The 18,357-nt window shown below is 44.2% G+C and overlaps 1 long non-coding RNA gene across 6 annotated transcripts in view, besides 3 other annotated features; it reads left to right on the top strand.

The window, feature by feature from the left end:
• LINC02815 (long intergenic non-protein coding RNA 2815) overlaps positions 1-12,459 on the top strand; it is a 67,626-nt gene extending 55,167 nt beyond the window's left edge. The window contains exons 1-5 of one of the 6 annotated variants that reach the window (NR_186729.1): positions 4,653-4,778; positions 6,271-6,465; positions 7,417-7,472; positions 7,993-8,053; positions 9,608-12,459. This is a non-coding gene — a long non-coding RNA (long intergenic non-protein coding RNA 2815). Of the gene's footprint in view, positions 1-4,652; positions 4,779-5,612; positions 5,769-6,270; positions 8,054-9,607 lie in introns of those variants that run through there. The other 5 variants (NR_186728.1, NR_186730.1, NR_186725.1 and 2 more) reach the window with 5 other exon arrangements.
• Positions 6,202-7,133: an enhancer, noted in NCBI's record as "H3K27ac-H3K4me1 hESC enhancer chr1:229228173-229229104 (GRCh37/hg19 assembly coordinates)". NCBI's record gives its function as "activates a minimal SCP1, AML or CMV promoter by ChIP-STARR-seq in naive H9 embryonic stem cells {active_cell/tissue: H9 hESC(naive)}" and the evidence as "EXISTENCE:reporter gene assay evidence [ECO:0000049][PMID:30033119]".
• Positions 7,134-8,066: an enhancer, noted in NCBI's record as "H3K27ac-H3K4me1 hESC enhancer chr1:229227240-229228172 (GRCh37/hg19 assembly coordinates)". NCBI's record gives its function as "activates a minimal SCP1, AML or CMV promoter by ChIP-STARR-seq in primed H9 embryonic stem cells {active_cell/tissue: H9 hESC(primed)}" and the evidence as "EXISTENCE:reporter gene assay evidence [ECO:0000049][PMID:30033119]".
• Positions 10,785-11,503: an enhancer, noted in NCBI's record as "H3K27ac-H3K4me1 hESC enhancer chr1:229223803-229224521 (GRCh37/hg19 assembly coordinates)". NCBI's record gives its function as "activates a minimal SCP1, AML or CMV promoter by ChIP-STARR-seq in primed H9 embryonic stem cells {active_cell/tissue: H9 hESC(primed)}" and the evidence as "EXISTENCE:reporter gene assay evidence [ECO:0000049][PMID:30033119]".
• Positions 12,460-18,357: the final 5,898 nt, after the last annotated feature.

The raw sequence follows: 18,357 nt of genomic DNA, 5'->3' as shown, positions 1-18,357 counted from the left end.
AGCGATCCTCCCACCCCAGTCTCTTGCGCAGCTGGGACTACTGACACATGTCACCATGCCCAGCTAACTTTTTTTTATTTCTAGTAGAGATGAAGTCTCGCTATGTTGCCCTGGCTGGTCTCAAACTCCTGGGCTCAAGCAATCCTCCTGCCTCGTATTCCCAAAGTGCTGGGATTACAGGCAAGAGGCACTGTGCCCAGCCCTTAATGGCTTTTTGGTTATTCAAAGGTTAACCTGGGCCTTGTATAGGAGAGGTTGAGACAGACAGTTGTTTGCATAACGTTCTGTTTTCTCTGTGGTAGCAGGAGAGACCAAAGGTCTGGCCCTGGGACCTGGTGAGGTGGAAGGGCAGCAGCCTCCCTGTGGAGATAAGGAGTCCCAGCAATATGGTGGCTGGCTGGCACCACACAGAGGAGGCCAGTGTGTGAGTCCCTGGCAGCGGACATAACCTGTGAACCACAGGAATACTGAATCCAACGTTCAGTCTCAGATCTTCGTAATCCTAAACTGTCAGTGACAGATTTTGGGCCCAATAGCACACTGCTTGTTGTACTTAGAGAACAGAGGGGAAGAGGCTGTGTCCACCCTGGAGGAAGAAGAAAGAAAAAGTGAGCAAGTAAACAAGAGGGAGAAAGAGAGAGAGAGAGGGAGAGAGAGAAGTTCCAGATGATGAGAGTTGTGATAAGGGCAGGAATTCAGAGTGAGAGTTGGGAGGGGGTCACTTGGTATTACCAGGAAGTCCTGGGGAAGGCACGGAATGTCCCACAGTCCTGTGGGAGATGTGGGCGGGGGTGATTTAAATTTTTTTTTAATAGAAAGGAAAGGATGATCCCTGACAACTAGGATAGACTCAAGTTACTTGTTTGGGGCAGTGATACCTCTTCCACCATCATCTGACCCCTATTTGTATGATTCACTAGTATTTGTTTTATTATTAAACTTTCTGTGTGTGTTAGTGCCTTCTCCTCAGTAGTTCTGGATTCTTTGGAGGCTACCATGGACAGTTTCACTTGAGTTTGGTGGTGCACATGTAAGGAGTAACTGGAGATAAATTGGAAGAAGTTGGCTAGGGCCAGATCATTGCATGGCATTGCTTGCCATATATTTCAGAATAGACCACTGTGAACCCTGTGACATGTTTATGTGTGAAGTTAGCTTCACAGCTTAGGATCAGTTAGCAAGCATTCAAGAATTAACACTCACAGGAGGCTCTAGCAAGTACTTCCAATGTCAATTTTTCATTGGTGATATAGTGGGATTCAGGACATGTGGGTTGTATAAGTGCTTGCCCCATTGCACAGTGAGGTGTAAAGACACAGCATGCTCAGTTGCCCACCCCTGGAGTACAGCTGTCAGTGGAGGACTCTGCTTGGTCCTCCGCCCCACCCCACCCCATCCTTCACAGAGGACTCAGTGGCCCCCGTAGACAGCTTGCTGACAGAACTCCTATAGCATCTGCTTTAGAGTGGATCTTTCATGCAGGATGCTTGCAGGGAGCCACAAAGGACAGAGAACAGGACCTCACTGAGGTTACAGGAGCAGATTATATGACTGCTTCTATGCCTGTTTGATATTCAAGTTTCTACATTTGGCAGATCTGAGTGTAGTGCTCAGTGTAACATTTCCTGTTGCGGGGATAGGAGCCATCGCTGATATTTTCTGATCAGTGTGCAACACATGGGTCGTTTTGACACGTATGCAAAAGTTGTTCGGAATTGAAGACACTGACCAGGAAGGCTTTGAAGCAGGGGAATGACATGGAGAAGGTGCTCTGTGCTGAGAGCGGGAGGCTGGGGCAGGGATTCAAGTTAGAACCGGAGAGTGGAGTCAAGAACCCGGTGGCCCCAGAGCTAGAAATGCTGCAAGATCAGAATCCACGGGCTCCCCCAAACTCCTCTGAGCCCTGGCACTAGCCAAGGACTTCCTGAGTTAGAGGGGATGTGCAGGCAAGCCAACTCTGTCCACCGTGAGAAAACCACACTGGGATGAATCAGGAGGAGATCCATCCCAGACACAAATCACATTTCCCTTCATTACCTTTGCCTCCATGCATGTGGTGGCAGGGGGTGGAATTCAGAGCAGGGCAAATGCGAAAGGCAGCTTGAGCTTCACCAAGAAGACACTCACAGAAACGACGCTGAAGCCCTGAGCAAGGCTCAGAACCCCAAACTTTCCCAGAGTGGCCTGGTTCTTCCAGAGAGGGCCTATTCATCTTGTCCCTTGTGAGATCTTTTGTGAGTCTATTTTAGTGGCCTTTGAAGGCAATCAATGTGAAGGATCCTTTTTAAGAAGAAATTCACAAAGCTGAGAGGCCCCCTACAGATCACTTGGCCAGATGGGGTGGAGCTAGGCTCAGGACCCTTCCTGATTTTGGCTCTTCTTCCTCCCTCCTCTCTGGTAGGGTTGGGCATTCTCTTCCCTTTGGGCTCCCTCCCTGAGACTCATTTCCCAAGCATGGCTTCTTCTCAAATGGAGGCTACACTTTTTTGATCAAGACTCATGAGCTGTGCAGTGCACTAGCTATTGCTTCCCAGGGTGGGTTTTCAAAAATATCCAGAAAATGAATGGGAATAAATAGGCTCAGGAACAACCTGGTGCCCCCTGCCCCCTTTCTCTCTTTTCTTTCTCTTTCAGTCCCCTTCCTTCCCCATCCCTTTTCTTCCCTCCCCTTCCCTCCCCATCTCTCTTCTTTCCTTCCCTTCCTTCCCACTCTTGCTCTTCAAGTTAGGCTTACAGGATGGAGTGGAAAAACCTCTAGAAACGTTTAGCACATGGCTCTTTCTTAGTTGTCAGGTAGGTGAGTACATTTGGAGACCAAGGCTCAGGCCATCTTTCAATGCCTTTTCATGTCCAGTGCCCAGCGATTCTTTTCCCTCAAGACCTCTGCCTCTCTGCCTCTCCCTACTCACAGTACTGTTGTGAGGAAAGAAAGCTGATACTTGTGAATAATAATAATTATTAAAATAGTTTACCATGATTGAGTGGATAGTCTGTGCCAGGCAGGTGCCAGGTACTTCACACAGAATAACCCATTCAATCCTCACAGCTCTTTGAGATAGCAACTACAATCTCCCCATTTTACAGGTGAGGAACCTGAGATTTAGGTTAAAATATTTGCCCAAAGTCATCGTAGTGGAGTAAATGGTGGCCCCAAAAGATATGTCCAAACCCCTTAGATCTGTGAATATTACATTGGTTGGGAAAAGAGTCTTTGTAGATACAATTAAGTTGAGGATCTTGGGATGAAATAATCCTGGAAAACAAGAATGGGCCCTAACCCAATGATAAGTCTCCTTATAAGAGACAAGAGGAGAAGGCCATGTGAAGACAGGGTTAGAGACTGGAGTGATGTGGCCACAAGCCAAGGAATGTGGACAGCCACCAGAAGCTGGGAGAGGCTGGAAAAGGTTCTCTCCTGGAGCCTTCAGAGGGAACACGGCCCTGCTGACACCTGGATTTTGGACTTATGGTTTCTATAACTGAGAAAGAATGAGTTTCCGTTGTTTTAAGCTACCCAGTTTGTAATAATTTGTTACAGCAGCCCTAAGAATCGAATTCAGTCAAATAGCTGGCTCTTAAGTGGTGAAACAAAGATGCTATCAATATTAAAGCTGTTGTAATAACCAAATTTATTTCATTTTATTTTTGAGATAAGATCTCACTCTGTCACCCAGACTGGAGTGCAGTTGCATGATCATGGCTCACTGCAGCCTCAATCTCCTGGACTTAGGTGATTCTCCCACCTTGCCTCCAGGGTAGCTGGGACTACAGGCACATGCCACCATGCCCAGCTAAGCTAATTTTTTGTAGAGATGGGGTTTCATCATATTGCCCAGGCTGGTCTTGAACCCCTGGGCTCAGGCAATCCACCTGCCTCAGCCTCCCAAAGAATTGGGATTACAGGTGTGAGCCATTGCACCCAACCAATAACCAAATTTCAGTAAGTCATTATAGAAAAATAATGAATAACATCCAAAAAGAATTATGATATATTATCAGTTGAAAGGAGCATGCTAAAAAAAGAAGGAAAGAAAGAAAGAAAGAAAAGAAAGAAGAAAGAAAGAGAAAGAGAGAAAGAAAGAAAGACAAAGAAAGAAAAAGAGAAAAGGAAAAATACATTACTAGTGGGTATTCCTGAATAATGGAAATACTTAATATTCTTCTTTGGGTTTTCCTGAATTTTCCAGAATTACTAATGAATATGTACTTTGATAACTAATATTTTAGAATGTGTTAGAAAGAAGTTCAGTGGACTCAGACAGGCCTGTTCACCACTGACGATAGTTAATAGGGCTGCGTCTTGGGTGGTTTCCTGCAGTGCCCCAGGGAGCAGTCTTCCTACAAAGTCCCACTCTTTCATGAGTCATCACCAGAATCCCCACATTCTCTGCAAAATCAAGCCTGGAGATTCCTCTTTAGGGTCACAATGTCCATGGATTCATTGCTTCTATTTAGGAATTATTTACATATGCTTACATTCATGCCTCACATTGAGTAGACATGTCCCAGAAAGGTTGTGATAAGTGAAATTTTTAATGAATTAAATCATCCTGAAAATGTGGATAAGTGGCTTCGGGCAGACAGTTTTATGAAGTAGATTACTATCTCTCTTACACCCACTCCTACTTCAGCCCTCTCTGTTCTTGTACTGGATTTCCTTAAAGGAGAGGCCTCCAGTGCACCTCGTCAGCTGCACTCAGCTCTTAAATGCAGCTATTCACAGAGGGCCCAGGCTCTCCCCTGCCCTGTGACACTACGTGGGACACACACCTCCACAGGTGACTATCAACCCTCACGCAGGCAAAGCCTCTGGAAGCTGTTCTTGTCTTCATGGACACAGTGTTGCAAAGACGCAAGGGCGTCCATGCGGTCCTGGGGAAGAGCTGCAGCAAGGCCCGGCAGGGTGGGCAGGCCTGTGGGTCTGTGTTCAGGTGACGGCTGGTCTGAGCAGCGCACTGCCTGGTCTCCTGCTTGGACAGCAGCGAGGGCAAGTAATGCTGGACTGGGAGTCAGGCTATTCCACATCCTTGAAATCTAGTTATTTCCATTAGCTTTGCTTTGTTAATCAAAAAGTATCTGAGACAGATCTCAATCAATTTAGAGATTTATTTTGCCGAGGTTAAAGATCATGGCCCATGACATAACCTCAGAAGATCTTGAGAACCTGTGCCCAAGGTGGTTGGGTTACAGTTTGATTTTATAAATTTTAGGGAGACAGAACAGGCAAAGACAAAAATCAATATGTATAAGGTATACATTGGTTTGGCCTGGAAAGGTGGGACATCTTGAAGTGGAGGCATCTGCGTCACAGGTGGATTTAAAGATTTCCTGATTGGCAATTGGTTGAAAGGGCTAAGCTCTGCCTGAAGAGTTGAAAGCAGCTTGTGGTAAGGTAAAGGTGGGTTGGGGGAGAGGATTGTGGAAGCTAAGGTTCTTATCATGTAGATGAAGCCTCCAGGCTGCAGAAAGAATGGATGTGAATTTGTCTCTTATCAAAGGTGTCAGACTCTGGAGAGACCTAGTCAGGGAAGGAGATTCTCTACAGAATGCAAATTTCCCCCACACGAGACAGCTGAATCTATTTTGGAGTAAAATACTTGGATTTCTTTCAGGGCCTGCTATCTGTCATGTGATGCTATGCTGGGGTCAGGTTGAAGCTTGGTCTCTTATTGCTATTAGGAGTCTGTTCTGTCCGTCTCAGGATCCCTAATTTAATGTTAATGCTGGTCAGCTGTGCCTGAACTCCAAAGGGAGGAGGGTGTGATGAGGTATGTCTGACCCTCCCTGCTTCCCGTCATGGCCTAAACTGGTTTTTCTGGTTTCTTTGGGTCTCCGTGGCCAAGAGGAGAGCCTATTCAGTCAGTTGGGAGGCTTGGAATTTTACTTTTGGTTTACAATTTGTAGGTGATAGAAGCCCTTTAAAAGACAAGGGTCCAGCTAAGAAGTGAATTACTCCATAGCTGACTTCACATTCTTCCATCTGGATTCTTTTGTTTTTTTCGCATGTAATGGGTTCTAAAAGTCTATTATTAGTAAATGAGGCTTTATAGACAAAACTGTCAAAAATTTTCACGTGACACCCAGGCTAAAACCCCAGATCCCAAGCTGGTCACAGGCACTGTCCTTCTCTCAAGCATTCTTTTTAATTGTCCATTGTTTGGAGGAACAATTTACCATTGGACTAATTGGGACTGGTGGAATCTCCCCTCCTATCCTAACAGCCCTGTCTGTCTAGTTTAAGCGAGGGGTGAATTTCTTGCATTATTCTAGGGAATTTGAAGAATCTCCAGGAGGGCCAGAGAGTAGACTTGGATGCCACCCAGCCAGCAATAGAGAAGTTGGGACCACCCAGCCAGGGACAAGGCCACACCTCAGCCATCACCACCCACAAGCAACGCAGCATGTATGAGCTGGGACAGGACACCAGAAACTACCTCATGATTGCTCCGGAAGAAGCAGCTGCAGGTGCTCAGCCATCTTTATTTCCTGCCACCCCCAAACTATGAAGACAGCAAAGCAGCCTGTGGAGAGGCTGCTCACAGAGGCAACCCCACCCTTACTTGGTGATGGCACGTGGAACTCCACCTCCCAGGTGGAAAATGGAAAAATTGTTTCCTTCTCTGATCTACTGCCTGAGCTGTCATCAGGATTTTGAGGACTGACTTAATGAATAAAATATAAAGGCTTAGCGTGAGCCTGGGATATGCATGGTGGAAGAGAATAAATAGCCTTTTGTATATCAAAGATACTTTCTGGGTAACCCAATCTGAGAAATAGCTACTTCAGCCACATCTGCTGTTAGGGAAGGCTGAGAAAATAGTGACTATAAAATGAAATGAGGCTTGTAGGTGAACCACATGAAATCCTGTGAACCGGGGAGAAGTCACCAGCTATTACAATGGAGTCTAGCTAAGAAGGGGCACGTGGGGGTGGGGAGATCGTGACCAATCAACAGTGCAGCTTGAAAATGTGGGTTTTCTCTTGGGAAGCTTCATTCCCTGGGAAGGAAGAAGCTATAACGAAACAGGAGCAATGAAGCTTTGCCTGGAGAGGATGCTGCTCACATTTGCATGTTAAATGAACTGAGGCCTCTCCTGGCTCCCCTTGGAGGGCTCTCAGAGGCAGCTCTAGCCTCAGAGGGTCTCTTGCCCACATCTTACTCTGGTTCAGAGCCCACATCCCCAAAGAGAGCCTTGTACACAGCAGGTATTCAATCAATATTTGTATTAAATTGCATTTTAAAAGCTGATTACTTGAGTGACCCCTTCCCCTACCCACCCCCAAAGACTGTCCTCCAGTATCTCTTTGTGCATATCCTGAATTCAAGCTGCAGTGAGAGGCTTTAGCAAGAGAGAGAAAACCCACTCTAAAAGCTTCATTTGCGACAATTTCCATTTTATTTCTCACCACCACCAGCCTTTGGACGAACAGGTCCTAAAGAGCTATGGAAACAGCATCGTGGAAACAGCACGGTGAGTTTCAGACTTGTGTGGCTTGGCAGGGCAGCCTTGTTTTTAGTTGTGGTGGCTTGCCAAAAAGGCTGGCTCTCCCTCAGCTAGCTCCCCTGGGCACTGTTACCTCCAGTAGAGCCTCTTTACTCTGAGGGGTGGCCCCTGCAAGGAGGTCCCTGCTTGGCAGCTTTGTCTTGCTCATATACTGGGTATATCCCCTGGAGGGAGGCATGAGGCTCTCGGGTGGCCTTCATTCTTACACCCCTGCGTACACCTGTGTCCAGGTACCACCACCTACACACTGCCCAGGCCTCTAAGTCCACACGCTCGGATTCTGGTTGCTTTTATTTATTTCTTTATTTATTGACAGAGTCTCATGCTGTCATCCAGGCTGGAGTGCAGTGGTGTGATCATAGTTCACTGCAGCCTCAACCTCCTGGGCTCAAGCAATCCTCCCACCTCAGGTTCTTGAGTAGCTGAGCCCAATACCATGCCTAGCTAATTCTAGTAGCTTCTGATAAATTCTCTCTGTTTACTCAAGATACAGTTATTGAATGACTGGTCTGGGCCAAGCATTATTCTCGGCGCTGGGGATGCAGCAGGTATGAAATAGATAAAACCCTCTGCCTTTATGGGAGTGGTGGGGATGGGGCAGACAAACATCTAACATAATAAGTAAGTCAATTTTTTTTTTTTTTGTGAGATGGAGTCTTGCTCTGTCACCCAGGCTGGAGTACAGTGTCACGATCTTGGCTCACTGCAACCTCCGCCTCCTGGGTTCAAGCAATTCTCCTGACTTCTGAGTAGCAGGGACTACAGGCATGTGCCACCATGCGCAGCTAATTTTTGTATTTTTAGTTGAAACGGGGTTTCACTATGTTAGCCAGGCTGGTCTCAAACTCCTGACCTCAGGCAATCCGCCCACCTCGGCCTCCCAAAGTGCTGGGATTACCGGTGTGAGCCACCATGCCTGGCCCGTAAGTCAATATTATGATAGGAGGTGATACTCTTTTTTTTTTTTTTTTTTTTTTTTTTTTTTTTTTGAGACAGGGTGCTGCTCTTTCAGCCAGGCTGGAGTGCAGTGATGCAATCACAGCTCACTGGAGCTTTGGCCTCCTGGGCTCAAGCAATTCTCCCACCTCAGCCTCCCAAGCAGCTGGGACTACAGGTGCACACCAGCATGCTGGGCTAATTTTTGGATTTTTTGTAGAGATGGGCTTTTGCCATGTTGCCCATGGGGCCTCGAACTCTTGGGCTCAAGTGATCCTTCCACCTTGGCTTCACAGAGTGCTGGGATTACAGGTGTGAGCCCCTGTGCTTGGCCAGGTGATATGTGTTTTAGATAAAAACAGCAGGATAAGGAGTGCAGGGGGAGGAATTAGTATGTAAAAGAGGTCATTTTGGTAAGTCTTGGGTAACCTTTTGCTAAGTGCTGGGTAAGCCTTCAATCTAAGGCAAGCTCACAGCAGTTTTGGAAGGAGAGCTGTGGGCATGAGGAAAAGAAAGGAACCAAGGGCGGCTGCCCAGTAACCGGCAGGACCCAGATATCTTTGCTGAGATGGAGAACTGAGGGAAAGGCTAGATTGGGGCAGGGGCTGTTGGGGGAGCACAAATAACTTATTTTGGATGTTATTTATGCAAACTTTAAAAACAAACATTATGAGTGGGGAGGAGAGGCCAGGCGTGGTGGCTTATGCCTGTAATCTCAGTACTTTGGGAGGCTGATGTGGGAGGATCACTGGAGGGCAGGAGTTCAAGACCAGCCTGGGCAACATAGTGACATCCATCTCTAATTAAAAAAAAATTAATTTCAAAAAAGTGAGGAGGAGAGTGAATAAAGGGAATACAACTGAGATGGGCAATGGAAGGAAGTTCTGCCCAGACACCAAGGAGGAAGGAGGGTGGAGGGTGCAGGAACAGAATGATGCCTCTGGAGCACTCTGTCCCCCTCCTTCTGCCCCCAGATGGTAATCAGGCTCGAGTGGTCCAGAGCTTCTGTGGTTCAGCTTGTGGACACACCCTGGTGGGGATTGTGCTCTGATGGGGGTGAGGACTCCTCCCCAGGAAAGCCCAGGGCTTCTGTTCACATCTCTGTCTACCCCCCAGGGGAAATGCAAGGGCATCTAACATTTATCTCTGGTTTGTCTGTTTCACAGGGGGCCTGGATCATACTCAAGGTCACTAGATACTTGTTACATGAGTGAATGAAGTCATTCAGTACTCATTGGCTCCACTGGGCTCTGACTTGCTGGGCATGACAAGCCCACCAGGGAGCCCTGGATATCCCTCCTCTTTCCAAGCAGCTGGGGAAGCTGGTTGCCCTGGAAACCTGTTTTAGGTGGCAGCATCTTCCTCCAGGAGGTCGAGGTGTCTCCTGGACCTTAGAGACTCCAGGACACAGGACAGAGCTCTGAACTGTGGAGCCGGGAAACCTGGTTCCAGTCTCAGCCCAGATTTACCAGCCGTAGACTTGGCCAAGTCACTCACAAAACCCAAAGGGTGAGGCAGAGCTGGCCCTGCCTGCATGGCAGGGAGATTTTGAGAAGCATGAAGAGAGTCAGGAAGTGCCTGGGGATCGAATCCACCCAGCAGTGCAAGGCATTGCTCTCCCAATTCTCCATTGGGAAAAAAAAATCCAGACAAAGACAGTACAGAGAATATGGTAGCCAATACTGCAGCAGTCACCACCCGGAAAAACAGACACTAATATAATAACTTGTGATTTTTGCTTCATATCTCTGTGGCATAAAACCATGACACATAAAGTTTATGTCCCCCTTTAACCATTCCTCAATGCTATTCCCCTCCTCTCTCCCCCTCCTCAACGGCAACCACTGATATGTTCGCTCTATTCTGTGCTTTTCATATTTTAAATATATTGTTTATGGGAATGATCATATATAAGAAATATATTATACTGTTTGTTTTAAAAGTTTGCATAAATAATATCAAAGTAAATTATTTAAGTGTCCCCAGCAGTCCCTGTCCCCGTCCACCTTTCCCTCAGTTCTCTTCCATCACAGTAAAGAAAACTGCCCAAACCTGGTCACCGCCCCTGGACTTTCGAAGTGGCTTCCTACTTGGGGTCCTGCTTCCAACATTGGCCCTGTGAGTGACAAGGATCTCATTCCTTTTGTGCTCAAAGCTCTGGCCTCTCTCTCCCTCCTTGGCCTTGCCCAGCCCAGCCCCACCCCTGTCCTCAGAACCTCACACCTGTCGTTCCCCACCTGGGGTGCCCTTCCCGCTGGCTGGCCCCTCACCTCTCTCAGATTTCTGCTCTAATGACAGTAACTGGAGAGGCCTTGCCTGAAGTCCCCTCCTCTTTCTCCTTACCTTGCTTTTTGGTTATGCATCCTCCTCCTAATTGCTTTATTTATTTATGTGTTTAATCACCATCCTCTTACTTTTCTAAGGCTCGTCCTGATTTTTTTCACATCCTGGTATCTGAGCCGGCAGTGATTCTATACCTGGCAGCAGCCTGTGCGGCAGAGCTGTGTGTAAAGGGGTCCATGCAGAGCCCTGGGAGAAAGAAAAATGAAGGGGAAAAGGTTGACCTGAGCTTTTTCACCTGGGGCTGGAAAGTGGACCAGAGCCTATCATTCCAACCTGCAGGTGCCTAAGGCCCAACAGAAAGTTCACCAGGAAAGACCAAGAGAATTGGGGTGACCCTCCCACAGTATCAGAGGGAAGGGGAGTGGGGAGGAGTACAGCAGTGCAGACCAGCCCCACAGGTGCTTAGCCAGGCCTTTGGTTCTGCCAGGGAAAGGAGGGTGCCTTCCACAGCATGAAAACTACACCACGTCCCAATGTGTCCGGGACCTGCCGCCAGCCGCCTGCACAGTAGTCAGGTGGATGCCACCGGGATACAGCCCACACTGACTCCTGACCCCAGGGGGTACAGCCCACGCTGACTCCTGACCCCAGGGGGTACAGCCCACGCTGACTCCTGACCCCAGGGGGTACAGCCCACATTGACTCCTGACCCCGGGGGTTACAGCCCACACTGACTCCGGACCCCGGCGTGGGAGGGGCTGGCCCGAGATGAAATCTCGAAGGTGGGTCAGGCTAGGTCCTGGAGTCAGGGGAAGCGTGGGGTTCAGGCCAGGCCTGGGTTCTCCCTGAAGTGAGGCTGACTCTGAGCCTTTCTTGAAACCCCAAATGTCACAGCAGTGCCCCGAAGGTAGGTGAGGCTCTGTTGCAGGGAATGCTGAGGAAAAAGGGAACATCAGGGATTGGTCTGGCCTGAAGCCTGCACTCCCCTAAATTATACCCTGGTATGATTTGGGCTTGCCCTGGAGTTACCTCAACTAACCTGGGGTCCTTGGGGGAAACAGAGATGGACAGGGTTGATGTATATTTCGGGTTGATTTGGACTCTAAGGATTATCCCAGCTCAGACCTCGCTCTCAAGGAATAGGAGCCTGGCATCTGTCTATCACCCCCTTGGCCCTGGGTATAGTCTGGATGAGCAGAGGCACGCGTGTGGCCCCAAGAGTCCCACCCTCTGGCTCTCTCCTCCCAAGACATTCTGGAGCCATGACATGTCTCCCAGGAAGGGAGAATTATTTTTGTCTGTGGCATAAATAAAGCCAGGAATGAGTTCCAATAATCACAAGCACATGCCAGCATGTGGAGGCTACTCTGACAGCAGCAGAAGGTTCCAGCACTGCCTGCCCTGCTGGTCCTGGCTGCAGGGAGGTGACCGGGATGGTCAGGGGTCGGGAGCAGGAGGGAGCCTCCAGGATTTTATTTAAAATGATCAGGTTTTTCAAACAAATGGAAAAATAAAAAAATCTTGAAAACAAATCTTTTAAAAATTTACCCACTTCACTCCAGATCTTAAGAAATAAAAATAAAACATGACTATTCCTCTAGAATCCTGACCCATACCATACAACTCTCTTCCCAGAGGTCATTGCCAACATCGATTTCTATTTATTTTTCTCATGCTTGCTTTAATATTTCTACTATATATGTATGCATCTATAAATAAACTCTATGTGACATTGTTTTGTGTTTTAAAATCCTTTGACTTTTTACTGTACATATGATTCTGCAACTTGCTTTTTATTTTAGAAAATTAGGGCAAAAAACCACATAACCTAAAATTCACCCTCCCAACAATTTCTACTTGTAGAGTACAATATTGTTAACCACACTTAAAGTGTTGTGCAACAGATTCCTAAGCCCCCTTTCCCCTCCTGCATGACTGAAACTCTGCACCGACTGAAAAGCAACTCCTCACCCCTACTTCCCTGGCTTCTGGCAGCCACCATTGTGTTCCTGTGAGTTTGATTACTCTAGACACCTTTTACAAGTGGCATCATACACTTTTTGTATTTTGTGATTGGCTTATTTCACATAGCATAATATCCTCAAGGTTCATCCACTGAGTAACATGCAACTGAATTTCCTTCCTTTTTAAGGATGAATAATATTCCATTGTCTTTACAGAGCACACTTCTTTATCCATTCACCCATTGATGGATATTTACGTTGCTTTCACCTCTAGGCTTTTGTGAATAATTCTGCTGTAAACATGGGTGTACAAATATCTCTTAAATATCCTGTTTTCAATTCTTTTGGATACATACCCAGAAGTAGGATTGCTGGATCATATGGTAGTTTTATTTTTATTTTTTTGAAGAATCTCCATACTGTTTTTCACAGTGACTACAACATTTTGCATTCCAATCAACACTGAACAAGGGTTCTAATTTTTCCACATCCTTGCCAAAATTTATTTTCTGTTTTTTGTTTTTATACTAGCCATCCCAATGGGTATGAAGTGATATTTCATTGTGGTTTTGACTGAATTCCTTAGTGATTAGTGATGTTGGGCATCTTTTCATGTGTTTGTTGGCCATTTGTATATTTTCTTTGGAGAAATATCTATTTAAGTCCTTTGCCCATTTTTAAATAGGGTTATTTGGGTTTGTTGTTGTTGTTATTGAGTTGTAGGAATTCTTTATATATTCTGACTATTAACTTTTTATCAGATGTATCATTTAAAAATATTTTCTCCCATTCCATAGGTTGTCTTTTCACTCTGTTAATTGTTTCCTTTGCTGCAGAGTTTTTAAGCTTGATGTCATCCCATTAGTCTATTTTTGCTTTTGTTGCCTCTGCTTTTGGGGCTACCTCCAAGAAATTCTTGCCAAATTCAATATCATGAAGTTTTTCCCATATGTTTTCTTCTATGACTTTCATATTATACTTTCAGGTCTTTAATTCATTTTGAGTTAATTTTTGTGTATAGTATATGCAATTTGGTTTTTAAACTTATTTTGTTTTTGAGATTTACCCATGTTAGTACAAGTAGCTCCAGCTCAACACACGTTGCTGCTGCTGGAAACCCCTGGTAATGTTAGTTATCCACAAGTCGTTCATTCATTTGTAAACTCTTTACACACAGTGCTGTGATGAGTGTTCTCTAAGGTTCCTGTGCACATATGTGACAAGCAGAATCATGGGCCCTGAGGTTGCACTTCTTCTGTATTAATAGATAATCCCCAATTGCTATGCAAAGGGGTTGTAGGCACTGGATATATACCAACTTCTGTAAAGACTGAAGAAAAACTCCTTGTACTTCTGGCCAGGGAGAAGAAAAGTAACCATTTAAAAATACACCAGAACATTCTGTTCTTTTTAACAAGGCTTCCCCTCAGGAGAAACTATTTAGCCAGAGCCTAACCAACATGGAGGAAGGAAAATATCAAATTCTAGCCCACGAATTAATTTCAGACAAAGTAGACTCCAGAGAAAGGAAAATTATCAAAATAAAGAGAGACATTATGTAATGATATAGGGTCAATTTTCCAAGAAGACATAACAATTCTTAATGTGCATGCACCTAAAAGAACTGACATGAGACAAAATGTGTGAGAGAAAACTGATAAAAATCCAAGGAGAAATAGATAAATTCACTTTTATATTTGGAAGCTTCAACTCCCCTCTATCAGTAATTGACAGATCCAGTAGGCAGAAGATCAGTAAGATATAGTTGAACTGAACAACAGCATCAATCAACTGCATCTAATTGACATTTATAGAATACTTCATCCATTAATAGCAGAATACACATCCTTCTTAAACTCACACAGAATTCACCAAGAGACTGCATTCTGGTTTATGAAGCGCACCTTAACAAGTTTAAAAGAATAGAAACTGTATAAAATTTGCTCTCAGATGACAGTACAATTAAACTAGAAATCAGTAATACAAAGACAGTGGGAGAAACCCCCAATTACTTGGATAAAACGATCCACTTCTAAATGGCACAGAAGTCAAAGAAAAAGTCTCAGGAGAAATTTAAAGATATTTTGAACTAAGTGAAAATGAAAATACAACCTATCAAAATTTGTAGAATGCAGTGAAAGCAGTGCTTAGAGGGAAATTTATAGCATTAACTGCATATATTTGGAAAGAAGAAAGATCTAAAATTAATAATCTAAGCTTCCACCTTCAGAAATGAGAAAAAAGAAGAGCAAATTAAAATCAAAGTAAGCAGAAGAAAACAAGTAATCAAAATAAATGTAGAAATGAAACAACTTAAAATAGGATATCCTAGAGAAAAAATCAATAAAACCAAAAGCTGGTCCATTGAAAAGATGAATAAAGCTGATAAACATCTAGTCAGGTTAATTAAGAAAAAAGAGAGAAGATACAAATTATTAATATCAGAAATAAAAGAGGACTGCCACTAATCTCGTGGACTTTTAAAGAATAATAAAGGAATATTATGAAAAAGCCTATGCCCACAAATTTGATAAGCTAGATGAAATGAACCAATCCCTTGAAAGGCACAATCTACTAAAATGCACACAAAACCTACACAGAAATAAATATATAATCTGAATAGGTCCATATCTATTAAAGGAATTGAATCAGTAATAACAGAAAGCACCAAGCCCAGATGGATTATTGGTGAATTCTACCAAACATTAAACAAAGAAACTCTGCCAATTCTCTACACTCTTTTCCAGAAAACAGAAGCAAAAGGAATACTTCCTAACTTATTCTGTGAAGCTAGGATTATCCTAATACAAAACTAGACACAGACATTACCAGAAAGGAAAGTTAGCAACCAATATCTCTCACAAACCCAGATGCAGAAATTCCCAACAGGCTAAGCATGGTGGCTCACTCTGGTAATCCCAGCACTTTGGGAGGTTGGGACAGGAAGATAACTTGAGGTCAAGGAGTTTGACATCAGCCTGGGCAGCACAGTGAGACCCCGTCTCTACGGAAAATAGAAAAAAATAGCTGGGCATGGTGGTGCATGCCCATAGTCCCAGCTACTCAGGAGGCTGAGGTGGTAGGATCACTTGAGCCCAGGAAATCAAGGCTGCAGTGAGCCATGTTCACAACACTGCACTGCAGCCTGAGTGACAGAGTGAGACCCTGTCTCAAAAACAAAACAAAGCAAGCAAACAAACGAAAACCAAAAGAATAAAAGGTAAAAATTAGAAATCTTCAACAAAAGATCAGCAAATTGAATTCAACAATGTATGAAGATAATTATACACCACAACCAAGTGGGATATATTTCCAGGTATGCAAGGCTGGTTCAATACTTGAAAGTCAATTAATGTAATCTGTCTGGTCTAGCTGCTAAAATGCCACAACTGGGTGGCCTAAACAACAGAGATTTATTTTCTCACAGCTTTGAAGCCTGAGGAGTCCAAGATCATGTGCTGGCAGATTGGGTTTTTGGTCAGGGCTCTCTTCTTGGCTTGTAGGTGGCCACTTTCTTGCTATGTCCTCACATTCCTCGGTGTGTGTGCATGGAGAAAGAGAGGGCATGCTCTCTGACGTCTTTTCTTACGGGAACACTAGTCCTATCAGATCAGAGACCCTTCTGATTTTATTTAACAGTAATTACTTTCTTAGAGGCCCTATCTCCAAATACAGTCACACCAGTGTAAGGCTTCAATCTATGAATTTTGAGGGGACACACACATTTAGCTCATAACATAATACAATACATCAATAGGCTAAAGAAGAAAAATCTTATGACAATATCAACAGATGCAGAACAATATTTGACAAAATCCAATATCCATTCATGATAAAACAAAACAAAAACAACTCCCAGCAAACTAGGAATACAGGGGAACTTCCTCGACTTCATGGAGAACATCTATAAAAAATACAGAGCTAACATCAAATTTAATGGTGAGAAACTAGATGCTTTCCCACTAAGATCAGGAACAAGCAAGGACATCCCCTCTCATCACTCCCATTTAAAGTAGTACTAGAAGTCCTAGTTAATGCAATATGACAAGAAAAGGAAATAAAAGGTATGTAGTTTGGTAAGGAAGAAACAAAATTTTCTTTGTTCACAAATGACATAATTACCCCAAACTCCTGGAGCTAATAGCAATTATAGCAAGGTTGCAGGATGCAAGGTTAGTATACAAAAGTCAGTTTTTTTTAATATACCAGCAATGAACACTTGAAATTTAAAACTAAAAACAAAATGCAACTTACATAAGAACTAGAAGAGAAAGAAATATGTAGGTATACATCTAACAAACTATGTACAAGATCTGTATGAGGAAAATAAGAAAACTGATGAAATAAACCTAAGAAAATCTAAATAAGTGGAGAGAGATTTCACATACATGGATAGAGAGTGTTTTAGTTTGCTACGGCTGCTGTAACAAAATACCACAAAATGGGTGGCTTAAATAACAGAAATTTATCTTTTCACAGTTCTGGAGGCTAGAAGCCCAAGATCAAGGTGATGATAAGCCAGGCACTGTGGCTTATGCCTGTAATCCTAGCACTTTGGGAGGCCAAGGTGGGAGGATCACGGGAGTTTGAGGCCAGCCTGGGCAACAAAGTGAGACCTGTCTCTACAAAAACAAATGGAAAAATTAGCTGGGCGTGGTGATGTGCTCCTGTAGTCCCAGCTCGTTAGGAGGCTGAGGTGGGAGGATAGATTGAGCCTGGGAGTTCAAGGCTCCAGTGAGCCATGATCACACCACTGCACTCCAACTGGGGGAAAAAAGTGAGACCCTCTTTCAAGAAAGGAAAAAAACGTGTTGGCAGGATTAGCTTCTCCTGAGGCCCCTTTCCTTGGCTTGCATATGGCTATCTCCTCCCTGTGTCCTCACATGGTTTTCTTCTCTGTGCATGTGCATCTCTGCTGTCTCTTTCCTTGTGTCTTAATCTCCTCTTCTTATAAAAACACTAGCAGATTAGGTTAGGGTACATTTCACCTTAACTACCTCTTTAAATAGTTCCATTTTAACTTTAAGGTCTTATCTTTAACTGTCCTATCTCCAAATATAGTTACATTCTGAGCTACTAGGATTTCAACATATGAATTTTGAAGGTTGGGGGACGTAAGTCAGCCCCTAACGGGGTGACTCAATATTATCAAGATGTCAGTTCTTTCCAATTAGGTCTATGTATTCAATGTAATCTCAACCCAAATTACAGAAAGTTATTTTGTGGATATTGAAAAACTGATTCCAAAGTTTATATGAAGAGGCAGAAGACCTGAAGTTGGAGGACTGACTATAAGGCCACAATAATCACGACAGTGTGGCATTGGCACAGAAATGAACTGATCAATGGAACAGAAAAAAGAGCCCAGAAATAGACCCACACAAATATAATCAACTGACCTTTGACAAAGGAGCAAAGGAAATTCAACGGAGAAAGGATAGTCTTTTCAACACATGGTGCTGGAACAACTGGATATTCACATGCAAATCAGTGAATCTAGACACGCATCTTTCACCTTTCACAAAAACTAACTCAAAATGAATCATAGACCTAAATGTAAATCAGAAAACCATAAAACTCCTATAAGATGACACAGGAGAAAATGTAGGTGACTTTGGGTTTGGCAATCACTTTTTAGACACAACAGCAAAAGTACCATTCATAGCACA

This window comes from Homo sapiens, chromosome 1 (genome assembly GCF_000001405.40).
Source record: "Homo sapiens chromosome 1, GRCh38.p14 Primary Assembly".
In the NCBI taxonomy this organism is placed as follows: domain Eukaryota; kingdom Metazoa; phylum Chordata; class Mammalia; order Primates; family Hominidae; genus Homo; species Homo sapiens.
The sequence above is the reverse complement of the archived record's forward strand: the minus strand, read 5'-3'. Positions and strand labels throughout refer to the sequence as shown.